Genomic DNA, 23,765 nt, shown 5'->3' with positions numbered 1-23,765 from the left:
ATTAGGTAGCACTTTGAATACACACATTTTGTAGGTGAGGAAATTGGGGCATGTAGCTGTTAAGATTTATATCAGCCGGGCGTGGTCACTCATGCCTGTTCCCAGCACTTTGGGAGGCCAAAGCGGGCGGATCACGAGGTCAGGAGTTTGAGACCAGCCTGACCAACATGGTGAAACCCCGTCTCTACTAAAAATACAAAAATTAGCTGGACATGGTGGCGGCTGCCTGTGATCCCAGCTATTCAGGAGGCTGAGGCAGGAGAATCGCTTTAATCTGGGAGGCGGAGGTTGCAGTGAGCTGAGATCATGCCACTGCGCTCCAGCCTGAGTGACAGTGAGACTCTGTCTCAAAAAAAAAAAAAAAAAAAAGATTTATACCAATTTATACCGTCCAATAGGAGGCGTGAGACTCAACACAGGGTGGAGGAGAGAATAGGTCAGGAAATCACATCTCTCCACCTGCACAGCCACCATCATTGTACCCTTCTAAAGAGACTGGCAACAACTTTCATTCAGCACTGTCCCATTGATTGGCTCATTTCATGATCACAGCAACCCAGTTAAGCAAATCCTCACCTTTGCATCGCCTGCTTTGTATCACTTTTCTTTAAAATTAAAAATAAAAAAAATGGATTACAAATTCGGTTAACGCCCATCCCATTTCTCTCCTTCCTTGTAGTAATTATCATTCTAAAGTTGTTGGGAATTATTCCCATGCGTACTTTGCACTTTTAAAAAATGTTTGCTTTCCTAAACATATACCACTGTTTTGTGTATTTTAAAACTCACACAAATAATATCATACAACATCCATTTTTGCAAGTTTCTTACTCATTACATTGCTAAATATGTCTATAATTCATTTAACTGCTGTATAGTATCCCATTATAAGAACAAACCATACTTTATTTATCCATTTTACTTAACAACAGTTAGCTTATTTCCACTTCTTCTTGACAATTAACTGATACTGCAATGACCATTTTTATCCTCGCCTTTTTGTGCATGTGTAGAAATGTTTTTCTAAGGAATAGATCTAGAAGCAAGATTGCTGGGTCATAGGGAATATTCATTTTCAGCATTAACTGGTGCCAAAATTCTCTTCAAATTTGTTGTATCTGTTTACACTTCAACACAAAATATATGCATTCCTATTGTCCCACATTTTTGTCAACAGTGTTAGAATAATTTTAATTTTGGTGATTTTGTGGGTGTAAAATGGTAACTCGCGCTGTGATTTGCATTTCTACATTACTGGTTAAATTGAGCATCTTTTCTTATGTTTATTGACCATTAGGTTTCTCTTTTGTGACTCACCTATTCACAGCTTTTGCTCATATTCTCTTGCGTTGTCCTTTTCATATGGATCTGCAACTTCTTTATGAATCCTGGATATAATCCTTTGTTGTTTATGTAGATTGTGAATATTCTCTAAGTCTGTGGCTTGTCTTTTACTTTACGTGATTTCTTTTTTTTTTTTTTTTGAGACGGAATCCTGCTCTGTCGCCCAGGCTGGAGTGCAGTGGCACAATCTCGGCTCGCTGCAAGCTCCGCCTCATGGGTTCACGCCATTCTCCTACCTAAGCCTCCCGAGTAGCTGGGACTACAGGCACCCACTACCACGTCCAGCTAATTTTTTTGTATTTTTGGTAGAGACGGGGTTTCACCATGTTGGCCAGGATGGTCTCAATCTCCTGACCTTGTGATCCACCCGCCTTGGCCTCCCAAAGTGCTGGGATTACAGGCTTGAGCCATCGCGCCCGGCCTATGTGATTTCTTATAAAAGCTTAAAAATGTTTTAACGTGGTCATATGTATCAATATTTTCCTTTATTGCTTGTGCATTTATTTATAGTCGACAAATAAAAATTGTATCTATGGTGTAACAACATGATGTGTGTATATATATGTGTGTGTGTGTGTGTGTGTGTAATGGCTAGAGTAATTACTGTATCTGTTATCTCACATACTATCATTTTAAACGTGATATTTGAAATGTACTCTCCTAGCAATTATTTTTATTTTTATTTTTTTTTTGAGACAGGATCTTGCTCTGTCGCCCAGGCTAGAGTGCAGTGGCAAGATTATAGCTCACTGCAGCCTGGACCTCCCAGGCTCAAGTGATTTTCTCTTCTCAGCCTCCCAAGTAGCTGGGACTACTGGCACGTGCCACCACATCCTGCTAATTTTTTCAATTTTTTGTAGAGACAGGGTCTCACTATGTTACCTAGGCTAGTCTTGAATTCTTGGGGTCAAGCAATCAAGCAATCGGCATCCCGAAATGCTAGGATTACAGGCATGAGCCACTGCGCCCAGCTAATTTTTCTATTTTTTTTAGAGATGGGGTCTCACCATGTTGCCCAAGCTGGTGTCGAACTGGTCTCAAGCGATCCACCCACCTCAGCCTCCCAAAGTGCTGGGTTTACAGACATAAGCCACTGCAGCTGGCCAGCAATTTTCAAGTATACAATACATTGTTATTAACTCTAGTCATCATGTTATACAATAGATCTCCTGAATTTATTCTACCTAACTGAAATTTTGTATCCTTTGACTAAAGCTCTCCAATCCCTGCCCACACCCGCCCCCCGCCCCCTAGCCCCTGTGCAGCCACCATTCTATTCTCTGCTTCTGCAATTTTATTTTATTTATTTATTTTTTTAAATTTATTTTGAGACAGGGTCTCACTCTGTTGTCTGGGTTGGAGTCCAGAGGTCTGATCACAGCTCACTGCAGCCTCAAACTCTTGGATTCAAGAGATCCTCCTGCCTCAGCCTCCCGAGTAGTTGGGACTACAGGCACGTGCCACCATGCCTGGCTGAGTTTGACTCTTTAGGTTCCACATGTAAATGAAATCATGGTATTTGTCTTTCTGTGCCTGGTTTATTTCATTTAGCATAATATCCTCTAGTTTTATCCATGTTGTCACAGATGACAGAATTTCCTTCTTTTTAAAGACTGAATAGTATTCCATTGTGTATATGTTCCATAATCTCTCTATTTATTCATTGATGGACACTTAGGTTGTTTCCATGTCTTGGCTATTGTGAATAATGGTGCAGTGAACTTGGGAATACAGATATCTCTTCAACATACTGAGTTCATTTCTTTCGAAATATACCTGATAATGGAACTACTGGATCACATGGTAGTTTTAATTTTTTGAGGAAGCTCCATTCTGTTTTCCAAAATAGGTGTACAAATTTACATTCCTACCAACAGTTTGTGAGGGTTCCTTTTTCTCCACATCCTTGCCACCACTTGTAATCTCTTGGTTTATTTTTATTTTTTTTATCAGAGCCATCTTAGCAGGTATGAGGTGATATCTCACTGTGGTTTAAATGTTCATTTCCTTGATAATTAGCAATATTGAGCATTTGTTTTTCATATACCTGTTGGCCATTTATGTGTCTTCTTTTGAGAAATGTTTTTTCAGATCATTTGCCCATTGTAAAATCAGATTTTTGGCTGGATGCAGTGGCTTATGTTTGTAATTCCAGCACTTTGGGAGGCCAAGGCAGGAGGATCACTTGAGCCTAGGAGTTCAAGATAAATCTGGGCAACATAGGGAAACCCTGTCTCTACAAAAAAATTTTAAAAATTAGCAGGGCACGGTGGGGTGTGCCTGTGGTCCCAGCTACTTGGGAAGCTGAGGTGGGAGGATTGCTTGAGCCTGGGAGTTGAAGGCTGCAGTGAGTTATTATTGCGGCACTGTATTCCAGCCTGAGCAACAGGGTGAGACCCCAACTTAAAGAAAAAAAATCAGATTTTTGGTTTTCAACAACTCTTGCTATTAAGTTTCTTATAAAAATATTCACCCCTTATCAGATGTATAGTTTACAAATATTTTGTCCCTTTCCGTAGGTTGTCTGTTGATTGTTTCCTTTGCTGTTCAGAAGCTTTCATTTGATGCAATCTCATTTGTCCAAAAAAATTATTGCCCAGACCAATGTCAAGAAGCCAAGATCATGCCACTGCACTCCAGCCCAGCAACAGAGCGAGACTCCATCTCAAAAAAAAGATCTGAAATTGTAAAAATACTAGAAGAAAATATAGGAGAAAAGCAATTCTCCTGCCTCAGCCTCCTGAGTGGCTGGGACTACAGGTGTGCACCACCACACCCAGCTGATTTTTGTATTTTTAGTAGAGATGGGGCTTCACCATGTTGGCCAGGATGGTCTCAATCTCTTGATCTTATGATCCACCTGCCTTGGCCTCCCAAAGTGCTGGGATTATAGGTGTAAGCCACCGCACCCCGCCATTTCAGATCTTATGTTTAAGTCTTTAATTCATTTTGAGTAGTTTTTTTTTTTTTTTTTTTTTTTGGAGGCAGTCTCTCTCTGTTCTTCAGGCTGGAGTGCAGTGGTGTGGTCTTGGCAACCTCTGCCTCCCAGATTCAAGTAATTCTTGTGCCTTAGCCTCCTGAGTAGCTGGGACTATAGGTGTGTGCCACCACCCCTGGCTAATTTTTGTGTTTTTGGTAGGTTTCACCATGTTGGCCAGGCTGGTTTCGAACTCCTGGCCTCAAGTAACCCATTGGCCTTAGCCTCCCAAAGTGCTGGGATTACAGATGTGAGCCACTATGCCTGGCCTGAGTTGATTTTTGTATATGAGGTGAGATATGGTCAAATTTTATTCTTCTACATGTGGATATCCAGTTTCCCCAGGACTGTTTATTGAGGAGACTGTCCTTTCCCCATTGTATGTTCTTGGCATATTTGTAAAGGATCAGTTGGCCATAAAATGTGTGGATTTATTTTTGGCCTCTATTCTGGTCTTATATGTCTGTTTTTGTTCCAGAACCATGCTGTTTTTATTACTATAGCTTTGTGGCAGCTTCTGAAATTAGGTAGTGTGATGGCTCTAGCTTTGTTCCTTTTGTTCAAGATTGCTTTGGCCATTTTGGTCCTTGTCTTTTGTGGTTCCATATGAATCTTAGGATTTTTTTTCTATTTCTGTGAAAATGTCATTGGAATTTTGATAGAGGTTGGATGGAATCTACAGTTTGGGGTAGTGTGGACATTTTAACAATATTAATCTTTCCAATCCATTAACATGGAATATCTTTCCATTTATTTGTGTCTTTAATTTCTTTCTTCAATGCTTTATGGTTTTCAGTGTACAGATTTCTCACCTCTTTGATTAAATTTATTCCTAAGTATATATTTTTGATGCTATTATAAATGTGATTGCTTTCTTGATTTCTTTTTTGGTTGGTGCATTATTAGTATACAGTAATGCTACTGACTTTTGAATATTGATTTTGTATCCTGCAACTTTACTGAATTTATTAGTTCTAATAGTTTTTTTGGTGGTATCTTTAGGGATTTCTCTATATAAGATCATGTCATCTACAAAGTGACAATTTAACTTCTTTCTTTCCAATTTGGATGCCTAGGGAGCATCAGTGGCTCAAGCCAGCTGTCCTGGTGCACAGGGAGGCGAGGCTATGAGTTCGAGGCCAACCTGGTCAACATTGACCAATTTGGATGTCTTGTATTTCTTTCTCTTGCCTATCTGTTCTGACTAGAACTTCTAGTACTATATTGAATAGAAATGGTGAGAATGGTTATCCTTGTCTTGTTCCTGATCTTAGAGGAAAATCTTTTAACTTTTCATGATTATGTATGATGTTAGCTGTGGGTTTGTCATATATGGGCTTTATTGTGTTGAGATACACTTTTTCTATACCTAATTTGCTAAGAATTTGTATCATGAAAGGATGTTAAATTTTGTCAAACGCCTTTCCCCCATCTATTGATATAATCATATAGTGTTCTTCATTTTGTTAACTGCTTGTACTTTTGTACTTTTAAAATTTTGTATAAGAAATCCTTCTCTATTCTGATATCATCAATATGTGATCTTATATTTTCTTTGAATAGTTTTCAGTTTTGCTTTTTACTCTAGCTACCTGAAATTTACTTCTGGGTAGGATGTAATGTAGAATTTATTTTTTGTGTGTTTGTTTGGATAGCCAGTTAACTCAAAACCATTGAACTTTCCCACTGATTTATGTCACTTCCATTATAGCCAAGTCTCATATCTTTGAGGGTCTGTATTAGTCCATTCTTGCACTGCTATAGATAAATACCTGAAATCAGGTAATTTATAAAGTTTAATTGGCTCATAGTTCCACAGGCTGTATAGGAAGCATGGCTGGGGAGGCCTCAGGAAACTTACAATCATGGTGGAAGGTGAAAGGGAAGCAGGCATGTCTTACGTGGCTGGAGCAGGAGGAAGAGAGGGAAGAGGTGCCACACGCTTTTTTTTTTTTTTTTTGAGACAGAGTCTTGCTCTGTTACCCAGGCTGGAATGCAGTGGCACAATCTCAGTTCACTGTAACCTCCACCCTCTGGGCTCAAGCGATCCTCCCACCTCAGCCTCCTGAGTAGCTGGGACCACAGGCATGCATCACCATGCTCGGCTACTATTTTTGTATTTTTGTAGAGATGATGTCTCAGCATGTTGTCCAGGCTGGTCTTGACCTCCTGAGCTCAAGTGATCCTCCTGCCTCAGCCTCCCAAAGTGCTGGGATTATAGGCAAGAGCCACTGCACCTGGCCTCCACACACTTTTAAACAACCGGGTCTCATGATAACTTACTATCATGAGAACTGCACCCAGTGGGAAATCCATTTCCATGATCCAATCACCTCCCACCAGACCCCATCTCCAACAAAGGGGATTACAATTCGACATGAGATTTGGAGAGGGAGGGACACAGATCCAAACCCTATTAGGATCTGATTCAAAAAAGTTTTGTTCTGTACTGTGGTCTATTTATGTGTGCATATACCAGGACTAGACTGTTTTAATCACTCTAAGTTTCAACCAGTAAACTTGTGACATATGGTTAGGCAAGGGATCTCATATTCTTCTGCTTCAAGTTTTGTTTTTTCTTGGCCATTTACTCTTCCATAAGAATTTTAAGGCCGGGTGTGGTGGCTCATGCCTATAATCCCAGCACTTGAGGAGGCCGAGGCGGGCAGATCACGAGGTCAGGAATTCAAGACCAGCCTGACCAACATGGTGAAACCCCGTCTGTACTAAAAATACAAAAAAATTAGCCGGGCGTGGTGGTGCGCACCTGTAGTCCCAGCTACTCAGGAGGCTGAGCCAGGAGAATCACTTGAACCTGGGAGGTGGAGCTTGCAGTGAGCCGAGATCGCGCCATTGCATTCCAGCCTCGGTAACAGAGTGAGACTCCGTCTCAAAAAAAAAAAGAATTTTAAGAACAGTCTGTCAAGTTCCATAAAATATCTGATTGGAGTTTTGCTTAGAATTGTACTGAATTTTTAGATTTGAGAAAAATTATCAGCTTTATATCAAACTTCCGTCTTTGTGAGTAGGGGATCTCTTCCTATTCTTTTATATCTTCTTTATGTTCTCTAATAAAACTTTATAATTTTCTCCATAAATATCATACACAGACTTTGTTATATTTATTCCTAAGTATCTTATGATTTTTGTTATGACAAATGGTATTTTCTTTTCTTTTTTTTTTTTTTTGAGACGGAGTCTCGCTCTGTCGCCCAGGCTGGAGTGCAGTGGCGCAATCTCGGCTCACTGCAAGCTCCGCCTACTGAGTTCACGCCATTCTCCTTCCTCAACCTCCCCAGTTGCTGGGACTACAGGTGCCTGCCAACTCGCCCAGCTAATTTTTTGTATTTTTAGTAGAGACGGGGTTTCACTGTATTAGCCAGGACGGTCTCGATCTGCTGACCTCATGATCCGCCTGCCTTGGCCTCCGGAAGAGCTGGGATTACAGGCGTGAGCCACGATGCCTGGCCTAAAATGAAATCTTTTATCTGTTTATTGCTGTGGTGTAAGGATATTGATGTTTGTGTATTCTCCTTGCCCCCGGCAAGGAAATTGTTATTTCTAATAGTTGGTAGGTTCTTGTGAATTTTCTTTGTATAGTAAGCAATCTATGTATAGTAATTGTCTATGTATAGTGATGGCTTTATTTCTTCTTTTTCTTCTTGTGTCACTTCAGACTTCTTGGCAGAAAGGTGAATAGAAACAGTAAAAACTGGTATCCTTGTCTTGACTTTGGAAGTTACTTTCTATTCCTAGTTAGCTAGATTAAAAAGATTAAAAAAGAAATAGACAGGTTCTCACTATACAGTGGTTATTCACAGCCTCAATCATAGAGCACTACAGCCTCAAACTCCCAGGTTCAACGAACCTTACCACCTTAGCCTCCCAAGTAGCTGGGACTACAGGCACAAGCCACCACACCTGGCTAATTTTTAAATATTTTGTAGTTCACTACAGCACTATTCACAATAGCAAAGACATGGCGTCAACCCAAATGCCTATCAATGAAAGACTAGATAAAGAAAATGTAGTATGCAGCCAGGCGTGGTGGCTCACACTTGTAATCCCAGCACTTAGGAAGCCTGAGGCAGGTGGATCAGGAGTTCGAGACCAGCCTGACCGACATAGTGAAACCCTGTCTCTACTAAAAATACAAAAAAATTAGCCAGGTGTGGTGGCAAATGCCTGTAATCCTAGCTACTCAGGAGGCTGAGGCAGGAGAATTTCTTGAACCCGGGAGGCAGAGGTTGCAGTGAGCTGAGATTGTGCCAATGCGCTCCAGCCTGGGTGACAGAGTGAGACTCTATCTCAAAAAAAAAAAAAAAAAAAAAAAAATGCCGGGCACGATGGCTCATACCTGTAATCCCAGAACTTTGGGAGGCCGAGGTGGGCAGATCACAAGGTCAGAAGTTCACGACCAGCCTGGCCAACATGGTGAAATCCTGTCTCTACTAAAAATACAAAAATTAACAGGGTGTGGTGGCACTCGCCTATAGTCCCAGCTACTTGGGAGGCTGAGGCAGAAGAATCGCTTGAACCCAGGAGGCAGAGGTTGCAGTGAGCCGAGATTGTGCCACTGCTCTCCAGCCTGGGTGACAGAGCAAGACACCACCTTAAAAAAAAGAAAAAAGAAAATGTAGTATGCGTACACCATGGAATACTATGCAGCCATAAAAGGGAATGAGATCATGTCCTTTACAGGGATGTGGATGGAACTGGAAGCCACTATCTTCAGCAAACTAACACAGGAACAGAAAACCAAACACCACATGTTCTCACTTATAAGTGGGAGCTGAACGATGAAAACACCTGGACACATGTGGGTGGGGGGAACAATAACCCACTGAAGTCTGTCAGAAGGGGAAGTGGCAGGAGGGAGAGCATCAGGAAGAATAGCTAATGGATACCGGGTTTAATACCTAGGTGATGGGTTGACAGGTGCAGCAAACCATCATAGCACATGTTCACCTATGTAACAAACCTGCACATCCTGCACTTGTACTCCGGAACTTAAAATAAAAGTTGAAAAAATATTTTGTAGAGACGAAGTCTCACTATGTTGCCCAGGCTGGTCTTGAACTTCTGAGCTCAAGCAATCCTCTTGCCTTGGCCTCCCAAAATTCTGGGATTTTAGCAGTGAGCCACTGCACCTGGCCTCCAGTTCTGGATCCTGGGTCTTGCGACATTATTCCATGCTGGCTTCTGAAGTCAATGAGGCAAAACCAGAAAGGGGAACTAAAAAGTTAAAGAGGGAGAGGGTCTCACAGGCAAGATGGAGGAAGCCTGGGATGAAGGCAGGGCTGTGGACCTGAATGATGCCAGGAATTAAGGAGGAAGTAACAGTGTTAGGTAATAGCACATGGGATTCTTGGGCTGCAGCTACAGGAGGGAGAATCATGGCCTTAATTCATCACCTCTGAAATCCTGAAATATCTAGCCTCCTGCCCAGATCCTGCCATGAATGCATCTATTCAACCACTATTTATAAAGTATCCAGTGTTAGGTCCAGGGAGTGGCAAGAGTGAGCATCTGCAGTCATAGTCCCTGCCCTCAGGGAGCTTACATTCAATGGGGCAGACAGACATCAGTCTGTACATAATCATCAACAAATGTAGAACTCCAACAGGGCCAAGTGCCTCTGAGGAAAGGTACACCTTAGTGTGAGCGCTCATAACAGGAGAATTTGACCCTGAAAAGAAGGTCAGGAAGGCTTCCCTGAGGCTATTGAGAAGGTGAGGCCTGAAGAATGAAGAGGAGCTAAGAGGAGAGGAACAGAGGAAGGAGCCGTTCCACAGAGGGTCCAGCCTCCCTGGAGACTCTGTGCAGGAGGAAGCACAAGGTGGACAGCAACTGGAGCACACGAGTGAGGGGGTGTGGTGGGAGATGAGGCTGGAGAGGAGGGGCCACCCCTTGCAGGGCCTTAGAGGTCAGGTTAAGGACTTGGGTCTTTAACCTAAGATCAATGGAAAACCACTGAATAGGTTTAAGGAGGCTGACTGAAACAATCAGATTTGCATTTTTAAAGGATCCCTCTTAGGTGTGTGTCATACTGTAGAGAAGGCCATTCCCAGCCTCTTCAGCTACTGCAATGACTCAGAGAAGGCCACATGGTCCACATGGTGGCTAGCCCAGGGATGTGGAGGGATGAAAACGAGTGGACAGACTTGAGATATATTAGAGCAGATAAAATGGATAGGACTAGGTGCTGGATTCAATATTGAGATGCTCATTCTAAACCGCCCCTACATCAAATCCTTCGAAGGCAGGGGCTATGCCACATGACTATGATACCCAGGTCCCAGAACAACTCCTGACACATGGTAGACTCAATACACATTTCCCGAAAGGGTGGAAATGATTAGCAGTCTCTCAAGTAATCCTTTGACCACTAAGCGTATTTAATTTCTTCTAGCATGTGTCAGTAATCAACCTCCTTGGTACATCATAGGGAGAAATATTGCCGAGTTCCAAAGAGTATACTCTGGGGCAAGTTAATACAAGAATAAGGTCTCACTTACCCTATAACATGAAGAGTAACAGTAAACTCGTAAGAACAGGACCTGGTGAAGCAAGGAGTAGGCACAGGAAGATGGCTCATCAAATAGGGGCGCCGGGTGTAGTGTGAACACCTGAGGCAGGAAGAACCCAGTAGCCTCTGGGGGTTGGGTGGGATTAGTTGGGGGACTAGGATTTGATGGTAGGGGGTTGTCCTGGAGATCTCTGGAAATTAAGTTATCTATTTTTTTTCTGTTTTTATTTTTATAAAAGAACTCTTAAGGGCATTTTTTTCTTTGTTTGTTCTGTTTTGAGATAGAGGTTCACTCTGTCGCCCAGGCTGGAGTGCAGTGGCGTGATCTCGGCCACTGCAAACTCCGCCTCCCAGGTTCAAGTGATTCTCATGCCTTAACCTCCTGAGTAGCTGGGATTACAGGCATGGGCCACCACGCCTTGCTAATTTTTGTGTTTTTTGTATAGCCAGGGTTTTGCCAGGTTTGGTCAGGCTGGTCTTGAACTCCTGGCCTCAAGTAATCCACCTACCTTGGCTTCCCACAGTGTTGGAATTACAGCCATGAGCCATCATGCCCAGCCTAAGCTATCACTTTAAAATGACCCTTCAAGAAAGTCCCAAGGAGTCTAATCCATCCACGACAACAGCACGTCTGAGACAGCCTAGTGAAATTTCTCCGATGGAGGACAGGAGATGGAAAAGTGCCCCAGGACCTCTTATTTATATAAAAAACAAAATTTTTTAAGACCCTGAGAAGTATGGATTCTTCTCCAGAGAAAAGTTCCTGGCTTGGGAGCTCCCTTAGGACTTGGCACTTTGGTCTAGAGTGAAGTGGACCTGGCCATTCCAGCTTTGAGTGGGTTCAGGCGAGACACTCGAGCTACCCCTTATGGTTGCTCTGAAGGTCACCCTGGCTGGGAGTGGGTGGATCTCTGCTCTGTTATGCCTCCCACAGGTGGAGGAAGTCTGTCTCTGAGGCTGCCCTGCCACCCTCATAGAGCGCTGCAGATTGGGGGCGGTGATGCAGCCACAGGGGCTCTGATTCCCTGCCTCCCCACTGTGTTCATCTCATTCCTCTCCACATATGAGGCCTGGTGTCATGGCAGGTGGGTGTTCCAAGTGAAACCACAGCCACAGAGGCAAGCAGTAGAGCCTGTCCCTGATGTGGCCCTGGTGATGCTGCACCAGCCTGGGGCTGTATCAGAAACCATGCCTGCAGCCTTTGCTTCTGCAGACTTGCTGGTGCTGCACCAGCCCTGAGCAATGTCCATAGCCCTTGCCTCACTGGTCACTGTGATGGGGACGCCCCCAGGTATGGTTCTGCTGCTGGTGTTGCAGGTTGGAGTGGGGGCCAGCACCCTCATCTACCACAAGAAGGCTTAGGTGGCACAGACGTAAGGCTGCTTGCCTGTGTGTAGAGTGGCAGGCTGCAACGGGCTGGAGCCTTGGGGAGAGGCCCTTGCCACACTGGTGGCAGTGATTGGGTTCAGGCAGGTGTGTGCCGCAGTGCTGGGCCAGGTGTGAGCTGTGGCAAGAGCTGTGGCCACACTTTCTGCAGGAGTAGGGCCTATCACCTGTGTGAAAGTGTTCGCACAGGGTCAGGTGGGCCCCTTGGCTGAAGTACTTCCTATATTAGGGGGAGGAGAAGGGCCCCTTGCCCAGGCTGTGCTGAGAGAGGTGAGAGCAGTGGGAAGAGACTCCACATTCCAGGCAGGAAATTTGAGTGGATTTGTGGGTGGAGATGGGGGTCCCGGGTAGGGGAGTTGGGGAAGGGTTGGTTGTGACAGCTGGCAGGTAAAGGAGTGCCATAGTAGGTAGAGGGCTGGGTCTGTCCTCTCTTCTCCTCCTCCTCTCCCTTTGCTCCCAGCCTGCAGGGAGAGGGGAGAGAGGTGAGAGCAGCATGGGGGAGGAGGAAGCAGAGGAGACAGAGGTGGGAGAGGAGAGGCTAAGCCCCACACCCAACTGAAGAAGTGGTTGGCGGTTTCAGCGGCACCTCCCTCCTCGCTGAGGTGGACTGTGAAGGTGGAGAAGCCCAGAGCACAGCCTCCTGTGAGCAGCTTCCCAGGGTGTTGAGGGCTGCCAGGCAAGGACAGGGCCCTCAGAGTTAGGCCTTGCCTGGGCAGGGGTCTCCTGGGGGAACCTTCCCTCAGGGCCCTGAGGCTCTGGGCTCCAGAGCTCAGCTTCCGCGTTCAGATACATGGTCTGCTCTGCTTTGGAGACTGAGAAGCCTGAGAGGTAAAATCGTGCTGGGTGGTAGGTAGGGTAAGGGAGAGGGAGCTTCCCCCCATCTCCCTCACCCACTGCAGAAAGGCTTCTCTGTTTCCTTCCCCAGCCCAGTCCCACCTCCTCTGTGAGGCCGCTCCTCACCTCCCTACTGGCCTGCAGTGATCCTCCTGCTTGGGAGTCACAGAGCACCCCTACACGGGCCCTTTGCCATTCTTTATAGTATAAGGCAAGGCCGTAACATTTTGTGGGGCATCTTCTTCAGTGTCCTCAGCCTTGTGTGAACATCAGAAGCACTTGGGGGCTTGGGAAAATGCAATTGCTGGCCCCATCTCCAGTTTCTTAAACAGCAGATCTGGGGTGGGGCCCAAGAATTTGCATTTCTAACAAGTTCCCAGGCGATGCTGATGCTGCTAGTCTGGGATCCACACTGGGAGAGCCACTGATCTGTTAGGCGTGTAACTTTACTTGTATTATCTCTCAATTCTCAGGGCAACCTGTTACTCTCCCCCATTTTGCAGGTGAAGAAACAGAGGGAAGACCCAGTGCCTTGTGCAAGGTGGCTCAGTTTGTAAGTGGCAGAGCCGATTTGAACCCACGTTTGTCTGACTCTAATACTGTATCAACCCTCCTTCCTCTACCCTGTTCCTCTGCATTGTCAACTATTCCACATGTATCTTGTTCCTCAACAAAATAGTAACGTTTTCTTTTGCATACTTTATATCTCTCACCTTGCCTGACCCAGTAACATAGGCTTGGTTGGGAGGGACTGAAGGACTTGGAAAGGAAATGCCCCAGTGGAGCCAGGATGGAAATGGGTTCCTCTGTGTCTCCCACATGGTGTCACCTAAATAAACAGCCATGTCTGTGAGGTTCAGTCATGGGGAGAGGAGGGCAAGAGAGCACTCGCACCAAGCGATGGGGTTAGGGGGACACGAAAGGAAATGTGATAAATAGAGAGGGGGGCGTGTGGGGCAAAGGTGAGGACTGGGGACCCGGGAGGGGGCAGGCTGTTTCAGAGTGAAGGCAGGACGGGCAGCAGAGACAGAGAAGAGGCTGCCGGGTGGTTAGGGCTGGGGAGGACAAGGAGGGTGAGGACAGACGATCCCGGCAGCCCCTGGAGCCAGAAGAGAAGTCAGGTTAACTCCAGACTTTTGGCTTCCACCTCTGTATCTCACCCAACTCCTCCCCACCTGCTTCTCTACCCTGAAACTCCAGGAACAACGCCCACCTGCCTCCCACTACAACTTCCCCTTATACCGTACACGTCCTGGATGCTTGGGGTCCGGGAGGAGGGGAGTCAGGATCACGGGTTCCAGGGAAGTGAGTGTAGAAAGGGGCTCCTACGAGGGTAGAAGTGGGTGTTGTCTGCTTCTGCAGGAAAGGGGCCAGCCAGCCCAACTGGTCCGCAGTACTTGCTGGGGCTGGAGGATGCCCACCTGCATCTACGGGATTGAGGGTACCGGAGAGGAGGCGAACAAACGAGAAATCCCAAGGGTGGAGAAGGGAGCCATGGGATCGGCGGGCGGGCCGCGCAGCTGCGGAACTGGGAGGGCCAAGCGGGCTTTAGGGGGAAACACGGCCGGCTCCTCTGCCAGTGAGACAGAGAACTGAGCATGGGGGAGGAATTTGGGGCCAGAGGGGCTGGGGGTACCCAGAGCAGAGGAAACAGGAAGTGAGGGGCAGAGAGGTTACGGGTGGTGGAAGGAACAGCAGTCGGTTCTGGAGAGGCGATTCCTCTTCCCCGAATACCTGCACTGCCCCGGACCGGGAGTGCAGTCGTGCGCCCCTGTCCCCCCAGCCTCAGGCTTGGTGCCCAGCCCCGCTCGCGGAACTCGAGGCCAGTAAGGCAGCCGCGGCTTTCCTTGATGCCCCCACTCCTCTGCTCTCAGCCGCTGCCTGGACGAGCACAGAACTAGTGTTCCCAGGCGACCCTCCCTCCGCTCAGCCCCGCTGCCCGGCGGGCAAAGGCTGTGCACTCACACTCCGAGTCTGCAGCCCAGCCTGCCCTTTTTTGGGAGGTGGCCCGGGGACTGGGATGTCGAACAGGGAGCTTCTCCGCAGTCCTCTCCACCTCCCTCCCTCTTTCCAGCTATAGAAACCGGCTGCTCGCAGTGACTTCCAAACATCACGGTCATTCCCACATCTACACACATCCCTTTCTCTTTTGAGCCATTTTCCTGCTTTCCCTTTGGTGTTGAAACCCTGGATTTCAGCCTGGGCGACTCAGGTTTTAGGGGGGAAAGTTTGGGGTCTAACTTGGCACCTCTGTTTTTTATCCTCTCTTCCAGCTTCATAGATGGTTCCTATTTTCATACATATTTGCTAATTTGGAGTTTCCGACGACATATCTCGAATAACCCGACATTTTCTCCCCATTTCCAAGGCTGATTTTACATTATTTCTAGGCCTCCCTCCCCAATCTATTTTCCTTTCTTTTTCTTGTACACCCCTGATAAACAGACACACAGAACTGCAGGTTTCAAAGAGGAAAAAAGCACGTTTGTTGTTGGTAGGCGGGCGTGAATGGGAGGGTTCTTCACCTTCTCCAACACCTCGTATAGATGGGACGTTGCAGGGCAATAGAAAAGGCAGCAGATGGGGGCGTGTTTTGCCCCACTCTGTACAATATAGAAGAATCTCATATAGATACTTTGTATAAAAGCCACGTGTCCTCATTTGTGTCCTCTTATTGGCTGGCTGGGCTGGGGGTACTGGGGGACAAAGAAGCTGGGGTGATAGACCAGGACACAGGGATACCCCATGGTCCCCTTCCTCTGGCTGTCCCCTGGTGGGGTCACTTTGGATCCTTGGTGGGAGCATAGCACAGCTCCAGTGGCCGGGACACCTTCCAGAATTTCTCATTCACCAGCTCCAGGGTCAGCGAGCCATTCAACGTCTGAGGAGGGGGTAAAAGGGAGAGAGGGGAAAAGAGAGAGGAAAGTTGGAGAAGATGGAAAAGGAAATGAATGAGAGGCAAAAGGTGACCAAGGGAGGAGGAAAGAAAAAAGGAATAATAAAAGCGATAAGGCAAAAAAGGACATGGATGATGGGAAAGGAGAGGGGACATAGAAAGAGATAGAGGATGTATAGGGGAAGAGTGCTGATGAGTTAGACCAGGCTCATGGTTCTATGTGGCCCAGACCACCCTCCCTCCTCTCCCCTCTTCTACCACTGCCCTCAGAAGCTCTCACCGTGAACGCCCCGCCTCCAGGTGCGATGTAGATGGTGTACTGCTTTTCACTGACGCCCTCCAGGCTGGGCAAAGCAGGCTCCTCAGGACCGTCACCTCCTCCGGCACCCCCACCCTCCCCGCCACACCCATCAGGTCCTCCGGTGTCAGAGGCGCCCCCTCCAGGCCCTCCTGGCTCCCCTGCTTCCTGCTGTTGCCTCCGCTCGAGGGCAATGCGCAGGGCCAAGTACTTGGAGAGGTGGTCCACTGTGGCATTCCCAGTTGTCTTCACATACCTGGAATGGGAGGGAGGACAGGCTTAGAGCCAGAGCGCCTCAGATGAGGACTGGAGGTAGGGGCTTTCCAAAATGGATTCTGGGTTGGGGTGGTATTTTGGGTTTGGGCAAAGCCCACTTCTGATGGAAATCTAGGTGATCTTTGGTTTCTCAGTGGCTGGGGAAAGACAGGGCTCCTCACCTCGTCTGGCAGTATTCTCCCTTCTCCACGAGCAGGGGGTGGGGCCGGAACACGAGCTCAATTTCTCCACCTGGCTCTGGGGGGCTGGGGGCCCCAGGAGGGCTTGGGGGGCCCAGCGTTCCCCCTCCCAGAGTCCCTCCCCGGTCACCAGAGTCTTCCGAACCGGCACCCCCACCCACCCCACCAGTGCCGCCTCCCCCTGTCCCTACACTGCTCCCCCCTGCGCCCCCTCCACGGGGTCGCTTGGGAGCAGGGCCTGGGGCAGAGTCAGGGGCGGAGTCTGAGCTCACATCTTCTCCATCCCCTTCTCCCTCCCCGGGCTCTCCTTCCCCCCCACTCATCGTTGTGGTCTGATCTGACCCTGGTATCGGCCGCCTCACACGCTGGGCCCTGTAGAAGCAAGTGGTTAAGGTTAGAAGGCATCCAGGATAAAGGGCTTAGACTTTAAACTTCAGAGAATTAAGAGATAAGAAAAATCCTAATGACGATACCTAATATTTATTAAACACAATGTGCTAAGCACTCAGTATACTAAGTGTTTTGCACCAATCCCCTTACCTAATACAATGAATCCTATGACACAGGTAATTATATTACCTCTATTTTATGGCTGAGGAAACTGAGGCTTAGAGAGGTTAAGTAACTTGTTAGTGATCATAGGCTGTCACCTCTCAAAGTGCGGTAGCAGCATACACATCCCCTGTGAGCTTGTGAAATGCAGACTCTCGGGCCCAACTCTAGACCTACTGAATCACAGTTTGCATCTGAAGATCTACAGGTAATCTGGATACACATGAAAGACTGAGAGATGCTGGCCTAGGAGGTGATTTAACTTCCAGCAGTATGAATCCGGGGCTTATTCTCAAAATCGCTCTACTGTTCTAACTTCTAGAAAGTCATGGGGTAAACTACATTTTTCCTTTTTTTTTTTTTGTGACAGGGCCTTGTTCTGTCGCCCAGCAGGCTGGAGTGCAGTGTGCAGTGGTGTGATCATGGTTCACTGCAACATCCACTTTCTTCCCAGGCTCAAGTGATCCTATTACCTCAGCCTCCCAAGAAGGTAGGACTACAGGCATGTGCCACCATGCCCAGCTAAATGTTTAATTTGTTGTAGAGATGAGATTTCCCTATGTTATTCAAGGTGGTCTCAAACTCCTGGGCTCAAGTGATCCTCCCATCCTCACCTCCCAAAGTGCTGGGATTACAGATGTGAGTCACTGTGCCCAGCCCTATATTTTTCTTAAGAAGAGCAGGGCCAGTTGTTTACTAAGAAACTGCAATTTACACCCATGATTTCCAGCCCTAATGATCAGTCTGTGGTCAGCTCCTAGGATGCTGAGGCTTAGAAGCTAGCAGGCAACAAGGACTGACCCACGGACCCATCCCATCAGTTCTGCTTCTCTCCTGACCCTCACACCTGTGCATGGCCTGCATGCGTAGCCCCTCCTCAATGCTGGAGCTCAATGCCTGCTGGTTGTGCAGGCGGCTCAGGCGGATAAGCACTCGGTCTTGATGGGCCTCGTATTCCTCCCGGCTAGGATAGATCTTAGAGATCAGGGCATCAAAGTTGGGGTCTGGCCGTAGGGATCGCTTGGACACCAGCTTCTTTCGGCAGGTAGGACACTCCTTGTTCCTGGGGTAGGAGAAGGGAAGCCCTGAGTGGTCAGTCAAGGGAACTGAAGCCTAGGCTGAACCAAGACCAGTGAGAGGGCCCTAACTTTGTACCCCTTCATCTCATCTCAAACATGTCTCTCCTATTACCCGCTCCGTAGGGCTGTGACAATGCAGTCAGAGCAGAATCTGTGGAGGCACTCCTTGGTGGTCATCGTATTCTTCAGCATGTCCAGGCAGATAGGGCACATGAGTTCTGAATGCAGTGACCGAGGGGAAACAGCAATCTCTGTGCCATCCATTATGGCTTCCTGAAGGCATCAGTGAGTAGAAAGGTGGTGTGGGTTAGAGGGAAAGGGGTTTTAGAAACAGCAGCCCATAAAATAAGAATTTTGAGAAATACAGTGAGAAGACCCATGTTGGTCTCTATAGGAGACAAGAATTCTGAGAAAGAGAAGGACTGATGACTTGGAGCAAATGGAGAAAAGACAGACTTTAGTGTCCATTAACTAAGAGTAGGAGCTTTGGAATAGGAGGATCTGAGGTGGCTAAGTGGCCTAGGAGTGAAGATGGCACAAATCTGTGGTTGGGAAAAACTATTCAACAAAATTTTTTAAAGTCCTGGTGCTACCTGTATTAGAACCCCATAGGGTGCCTGTTAAAAATTCAGATTCTGAGAACCCAATTCACTACTGAATCAGAATGTTGGGGGGCATGAAGCTCTGCTTTTAATAAACTCCCAAAGTGAGTCTTATGTGCACTGACTTATGACACTGAATGAGGAACAGGGAAGGTAATTTTTGTGTTTGTGATCTTTCAAATGAAGATAATAATACTTGTTCCACCTCTCTGGCAGGGCTGTTTTGAGGATTAAATGAGCTAAATGCGAAAGTGCTTTGGAAAGATTAAGGTGATTCAAAGGTAGGGCCAGGCAAGGCAGAATAGAGCAAATTACGGAAAAGAAGCTGTGTGATGCGGTCTGTGGATATAAGGGTTTGGGGGAGGGGGTAAGCCTGAAAGGGAGAATGCCTGTCACCTGCGGGGTCCGGTGCAGCTCATACAGACTCAGTTCCCACGTTTTGCTGGCATTCTGGGCATTCGCCGGCGTCGTCATGGTGACCGGGCGCAGACCCCCCACCAGGGCTCCACAGCCGAGGAGAAGGCGAAGAAGGCTGGGGGTGGGGGGAAGGGGAGGAGGGCGTCAGGGGGGCCGCCCCTCGCGTAGACCCCGCCCCTCCAGAAGCGCCCCTCTCCGCCCCCGCTCCCGCCCCCGCGCCGGCACTGCCCCTCACCCAGCTCCAGCCGTTCGCGCTCCCGCCGCCGCCGCGCCTCTCCCTAGGCCCGGGCTCCTGGGCCAAGTTCGCTCGGTCCGCAACCGCTGCTCAGACAGCAGCTCCCGCCACCGCCGCCGCCATGGCCCGGGCGCTGGGGCCCTACGTCACTTCCGCCTGCTCCTCCGCTACACCCGCTCCCCCCGCCGGCGGAGACGTCACCCACCATTCGCGGCGCGGGTGGGACGGGACGTGGACGCCGCGGTTCTCCCGCCCACGGGACGGGCTCGTCCCGCGTGAGGATCCTGCGTCCCGGGAGTTCTGCGCCACTTAGGGAACCACGGTCTCCGCCCCCGGCCCAGCACCGTCGCGCGGCCAACAACCTTAGCCTCGGTTCCCTTCCAGAGGCCCCCACGCGGGGCCTCAGCTCCGGGGGGCCGGGGCCTGGAATATCTGGGACCCCAGGAGGGGACAGAGGGCTCGTGAAAAGGGCTACCTCCCCCACTCTGCGTACCCTGGCGACTCTGGGGATCAACCCCCCTCACTTCTCCGTAACCCCCATTCCAGGATCCCGGGGGAAAAGGCTGCAAAAGATCTGCCGCTTTAGCCTTCTAGTCCTGAGAACACACCTAGGTCCCGATGTGCCCGGGATTCCCCTTACCACCCTGGGGACTCCCTCCACCCTCTGCTTTGGCTCTCCCTAGACCCTCCGACCCGCTCTCCCGCTCGAGGTTTGGGGGCGGCGGCTCGGGACGTCCAGACTCAACTCTCGGCCGGAGCCATAGACTCGAGAATTGCGTTTGGACAATCAGGAGCCGCGGCCCGGGGCGGGGAAGGGAGGGAGGCGCACGGGAGGAAAGGGGGAATGGAGACACCACGCGGAAACAGGGACATACACAAGATGGAGCTCCCATTGGGAAGGGGGGGTGCGCGTGTGGGTGGGGTACACAGGGGCAGAATGTCTGGAGTGGGAAGTGGGCAGAAGCCTCTTCGAGGACTCTAGAGTAAACGAAGGGGATGGGGAGGAAAGAGAAGAGGAAGGGGCAGAGCGATCCCCATTGAGTGTAGGGAATGAGAGGGATACAGGGCGAGGGGGTGGGGGGCAGTTAGAGACCCTGATGGGCATCTTGTCCCCGCCCGAGCTGAGGCTCCCGGACTTGGGCTGCGGCTGCCAGGGGGTGGCCTGTCCCTGGGACAAGGCAGCAGTGGGTGCCCTCGCCCCCCACCCCAGTTCCCCCCTACTTCCCTGTCCTCTCCTTCAGTCCGTGGCCAGTCCTTATGTGGGCGCCAGAGTCGATTAGCGCAGACCCCCCTCCCCTTCCTCCTCCTCTTCCCAGCCCCCTCCCTCCTGCTCTCTCCAGCCCCTTTCATCGGCTGGTTCATTCCCCTAATCCTGGCCCCCTCCCCTAATCCCCCCCATCCGACCCCAGGCCGGCTGCAGCTATTGTAAGGTGGAGAGAAAGGGGAGGGGGGGACTCAGAGAAAGGAGAGGGGTGGGGGAGGGCCACCTGTTCCAAGACCCCCTTTCAAGGCCAGACTGGACACCAAGATGGGGCCATGAACAAATCACCCTTGGGGACCATAAGAACCCAGGGAGTTGGGGGGAGGGGACTGGTGCTGCAGAACCAGTGGAAAGGGGTGACGCACGAACCCCTCCCTTCAAAAAGACCCGGAGTGTCACGCATACACAGTGACACATACTCTTTCCTCTCACACCCGGCGGCGGGGGTTGCCCTGGGAGACCAGGCAGAGAAAGGGAACAATCCTTCGGGAAAGGGAAAGGAGGGGGAGGTGGGGAAGGGTCTGAGGGCTTGGACACAAGAAGAGCCGGAGGTGGCAGGGAAGAGGACTTGGAATTTATTAGGGTCACAAGCACCCCTGCTTCCCATATTCAGCATTCCTGAACCATACACTGCCACCCCTTTTGTATCCTGGGAACTTAGAGTCCTCATCAGCAGGAGGCCAGGCAGAGTGGTGGGGGGGTGAGCAGAGTCCAGGGTCCTTGAGGCAGTTACATGAAAAGACCTCCTGGGAGGGGCAGAAACATTTGGACAGATGCATGGGTGGAGACACAAATGGGCTAGGGGGTACCCACTTCTGTCCCTGGCCTTGGGAACCTCTGCCCTTCCCAGTGGCTCCAGACTCCCCTTACTTGCTTTCTCATATAGTCTGGGTTCTACTTCTCTGCCCTCTCCCTCCCCATGCTGGCCTCATACCAGTGACTTCCACTGAGGTCCCTGTGATGTATCCACTATCTTCAGATGCCAAGAATGCGACCACATCTGCCACATCTATGAGAATGGTGGGGAGAGGGCAGAATTCTGCTCACTCCCATAGACCCAAAACAGCCATAATCTCCCACCAAAGACATCCCTCCCCACAAACCTCTCCACAGACACCAACCACCAGTCCCCTAGAAAATCCCCAAACTTTGGGGATCTCTTCATTCAGGCCCCCTTCCCAGGGACCCCACTACATTCAGTGCTCACCCTCAGGGTCCCCCAAGTGTCCCATCGGGATCATTTCAGTAATCTGTAAGGAAATACTCATGTGGGTGAAAGCTTCTTTTATGGATTTTTTTGAAGACTGAGTCTGTGACCCTTTTTTGTCTTCATTTCTCATACATTCATTGAATATTTAATGTTTGCCAGGAACTGTGCCCAGTATTCTCTCTCTCTCTCTCTCTCTCTCTCTGTGAAGCCCAGAGAGATTGAGTCTCTGAATGATTCTGCCCTCCACCCACAGCCTCCTACCTTGTCCACCACTTTCTGTGGCACTTTCTGTGTCATGGGTGTTGCAATGAACCCTGGGAGGACAGAGTTACAGCGGATCCCATGTCTGTGGGAAGGAGAGTGGCTGCCGATTCTGGAGAGGGCTGAATGCTGGTACCTCCCTCAGACCCCCCAGGTGCTCCCCAGCACCCTCAAGCATCTGACCAACCGTCCAAGCTCCCGGGCTGCGGTCTGGGTCAGCCCAATCACTCCAGCCTTGGATGCTGCATAGTTTGTCTGCCCCACGTTCCCCACCTATAGGTGAGTCAGAGATGTGGAATGAGTCAGGAGTCTCAAGGAGGGGTTCTCCTCTCTATACCACTTGGCTGGCTGACCTCGTCCAACTCAACCTGACCTTTCCTACGATGCTACTGATGTTGATGATGGAACCACGACAACCATTGGACACCAGGGCTTGTGCTGCAGCCTGAGTGACTAGGAAGGTGCCCTGGCGGGAAAGGGTAACAAGGGAGAAAAGATCAGCTGGGGTGACAGCCCTCCTCCAACTCCCTCCCCAGGCTAAGGGGGCCAAACGTCGCAGGTTCAGAGATCGCCACCTTGAGGTTGACAGCTATGACTTTGTCCCAGTCATCCTCAGACATGTGCAGCAGAAACTCATCCTGGGTGATGCCCGCACAGGACACAACGACAGATGGTGGGCGAGAAAAGCAGGCCTATGGGAGGGGGAGGTTACGCATCAAAAACCCCCCACAAAAAGCCGGGGCAGTGGAGGCAATATCAGAGCTTTAGAGGGGGAAAGTGGCCTAGCGTTCACCTGCACTTGTTCCAGCAGGCACCTGGCGGCCCTGGCCTCAGACACGTCAGCCTGGAAGGCAGCATGGTTCCCTCGGGGCGGCCCCTCCTTGCTCCCTGGCCCGCCCAGCAGCCGCACCGTCTCCTGTGCCGCTGCCCGGTCCAGGTCGCAGGCAGCTACGGTGGCCCCCTCTCCGGCCAGGCGTACACTGACCGCTCGGCCGATGCCGCTCCCCGCACCTGAGGTAGGACAGAACACGCCGGACCGGGCACGGGGAGGAGAGGGCAGGGATCAGAGGTCACAGGGCAGAAAGTAAAATGTGGGTAAGGGGCCAGAGGTCACAGCGGCCGCGCACTCCAAGGGCACGCCCCTGACCTCACTCCAATACCCCAAACCGCCCGGGGAAAGAACCCCCTCAACCTGTGACCAAGGCCAGTGCGGAGCGGAGTCGGTTCTGGAGCTGAGACGCCATGGCGGGCTGTGGGTGGGTGGGAATCCCAGCACTAAGCCAATCCCAGCGCAGAGGGGCGTGGCAAGGGCAAAGCCGGGGCCAATCAAAGGCCCGCCAGCCTTAGGCCATCTGCGGCCACCAGCGCAGGCCGACCTCCCACCGAGGGGGCGTGGCCCGACACTGCTGCTTAGGGGCCCCGGGTGTGG

At 49.6% G+C, this 23,765-nt stretch overlaps 2 protein-coding genes, 1 non-coding gene and 1 pseudogene across 3 annotated transcripts, besides 2 other annotated features; all 4 read right to left on the bottom strand.

Annotated features, from left to right (window-relative positions):
• ZNF70P1 (zinc finger protein 70 pseudogene 1) lies at positions 12,066-12,675 on the bottom strand (annotated as a pseudogene).
• RING1 (ring finger protein 1) lies at positions 15,533-19,749 on the bottom strand. Its single transcript, NM_002931.4, has 7 exons — positions 19,605-19,749; positions 19,349-19,484; positions 18,463-18,623; positions 18,119-18,334; positions 16,702-17,091; positions 16,247-16,520; positions 15,533-15,951 (listed from the first exon to the last, which is right to left on the bottom strand). The coding sequence occupies exons 2-7, from the start codon at positions 19,424-19,426 to the stop codon at positions 15,850-15,852; spliced, it is 1,221 nt and encodes a 406-aa protein (NP_002922.2). The 5' UTR covers positions 19,427-19,484; positions 19,605-19,749; the 3' UTR covers positions 15,533-15,849.
• A 555-nt stretch (positions 19,750-20,304) lies between these two features.
• MIR219A1 (microRNA 219a-1) lies at positions 20,305-20,414 on the bottom strand. Its single transcript, NR_029633.1, has one exon. It is a non-coding gene; the product is annotated as a microRNA 219a-1 (primary transcript).
• Positions 20,415-21,417: 1,003 nt separating this feature from the next.
• HSD17B8 (hydroxysteroid 17-beta dehydrogenase 8) lies at positions 21,418-23,594 on the bottom strand. The gene is made up of 9 exons (NM_014234.5): positions 23,529-23,594; positions 23,130-23,347; positions 22,912-23,028; positions 22,710-22,802; positions 22,524-22,609; positions 22,337-22,421; positions 22,073-22,115; positions 21,800-21,874; positions 21,418-21,611 (listed from the first exon to the last, which is right to left on the bottom strand). The coding sequence occupies exons 1-9, from the start codon at positions 23,578-23,580 to the stop codon at positions 21,595-21,597; spliced, it is 786 nt and encodes a 261-aa protein (NP_055049.1). The 5' UTR covers positions 23,581-23,594; the 3' UTR covers positions 21,418-21,594.
• Positions 22,001-22,881: an enhancer, noted in NCBI's record as "H3K27ac-H3K4me1 hESC enhancer chr6:33173145-33174025 (GRCh37/hg19 assembly coordinates)". NCBI's record gives its function as "activates a minimal SCP1, AML or CMV promoter by ChIP-STARR-seq in naive H9 embryonic stem cells {active_cell/tissue: H9 hESC(naive)}" and the evidence as "EXISTENCE:reporter gene assay evidence [ECO:0000049][PMID:30033119]".
• Positions 22,882-23,764: an enhancer, noted in NCBI's record as "H3K27ac-H3K4me1 hESC enhancer chr6:33172262-33173144 (GRCh37/hg19 assembly coordinates)". NCBI's record gives its function as "activates a minimal SCP1, AML or CMV promoter by ChIP-STARR-seq in naive H9 embryonic stem cells {active_cell/tissue: H9 hESC(naive)}" and the evidence as "EXISTENCE:reporter gene assay evidence [ECO:0000049][PMID:30033119]".

This window comes from Homo sapiens, chromosome 6 (assembly GCF_000001405.40).
Source record: "Homo sapiens chromosome 6, GRCh38.p14 Primary Assembly".
Taxonomy (NCBI): Eukaryota; Metazoa; Chordata; class Mammalia; order Primates; family Hominidae; genus Homo; species Homo sapiens.
Note: the sequence above shows the minus strand (reverse complement) of the source record. Positions and strands in the feature narration are given on the sequence as shown.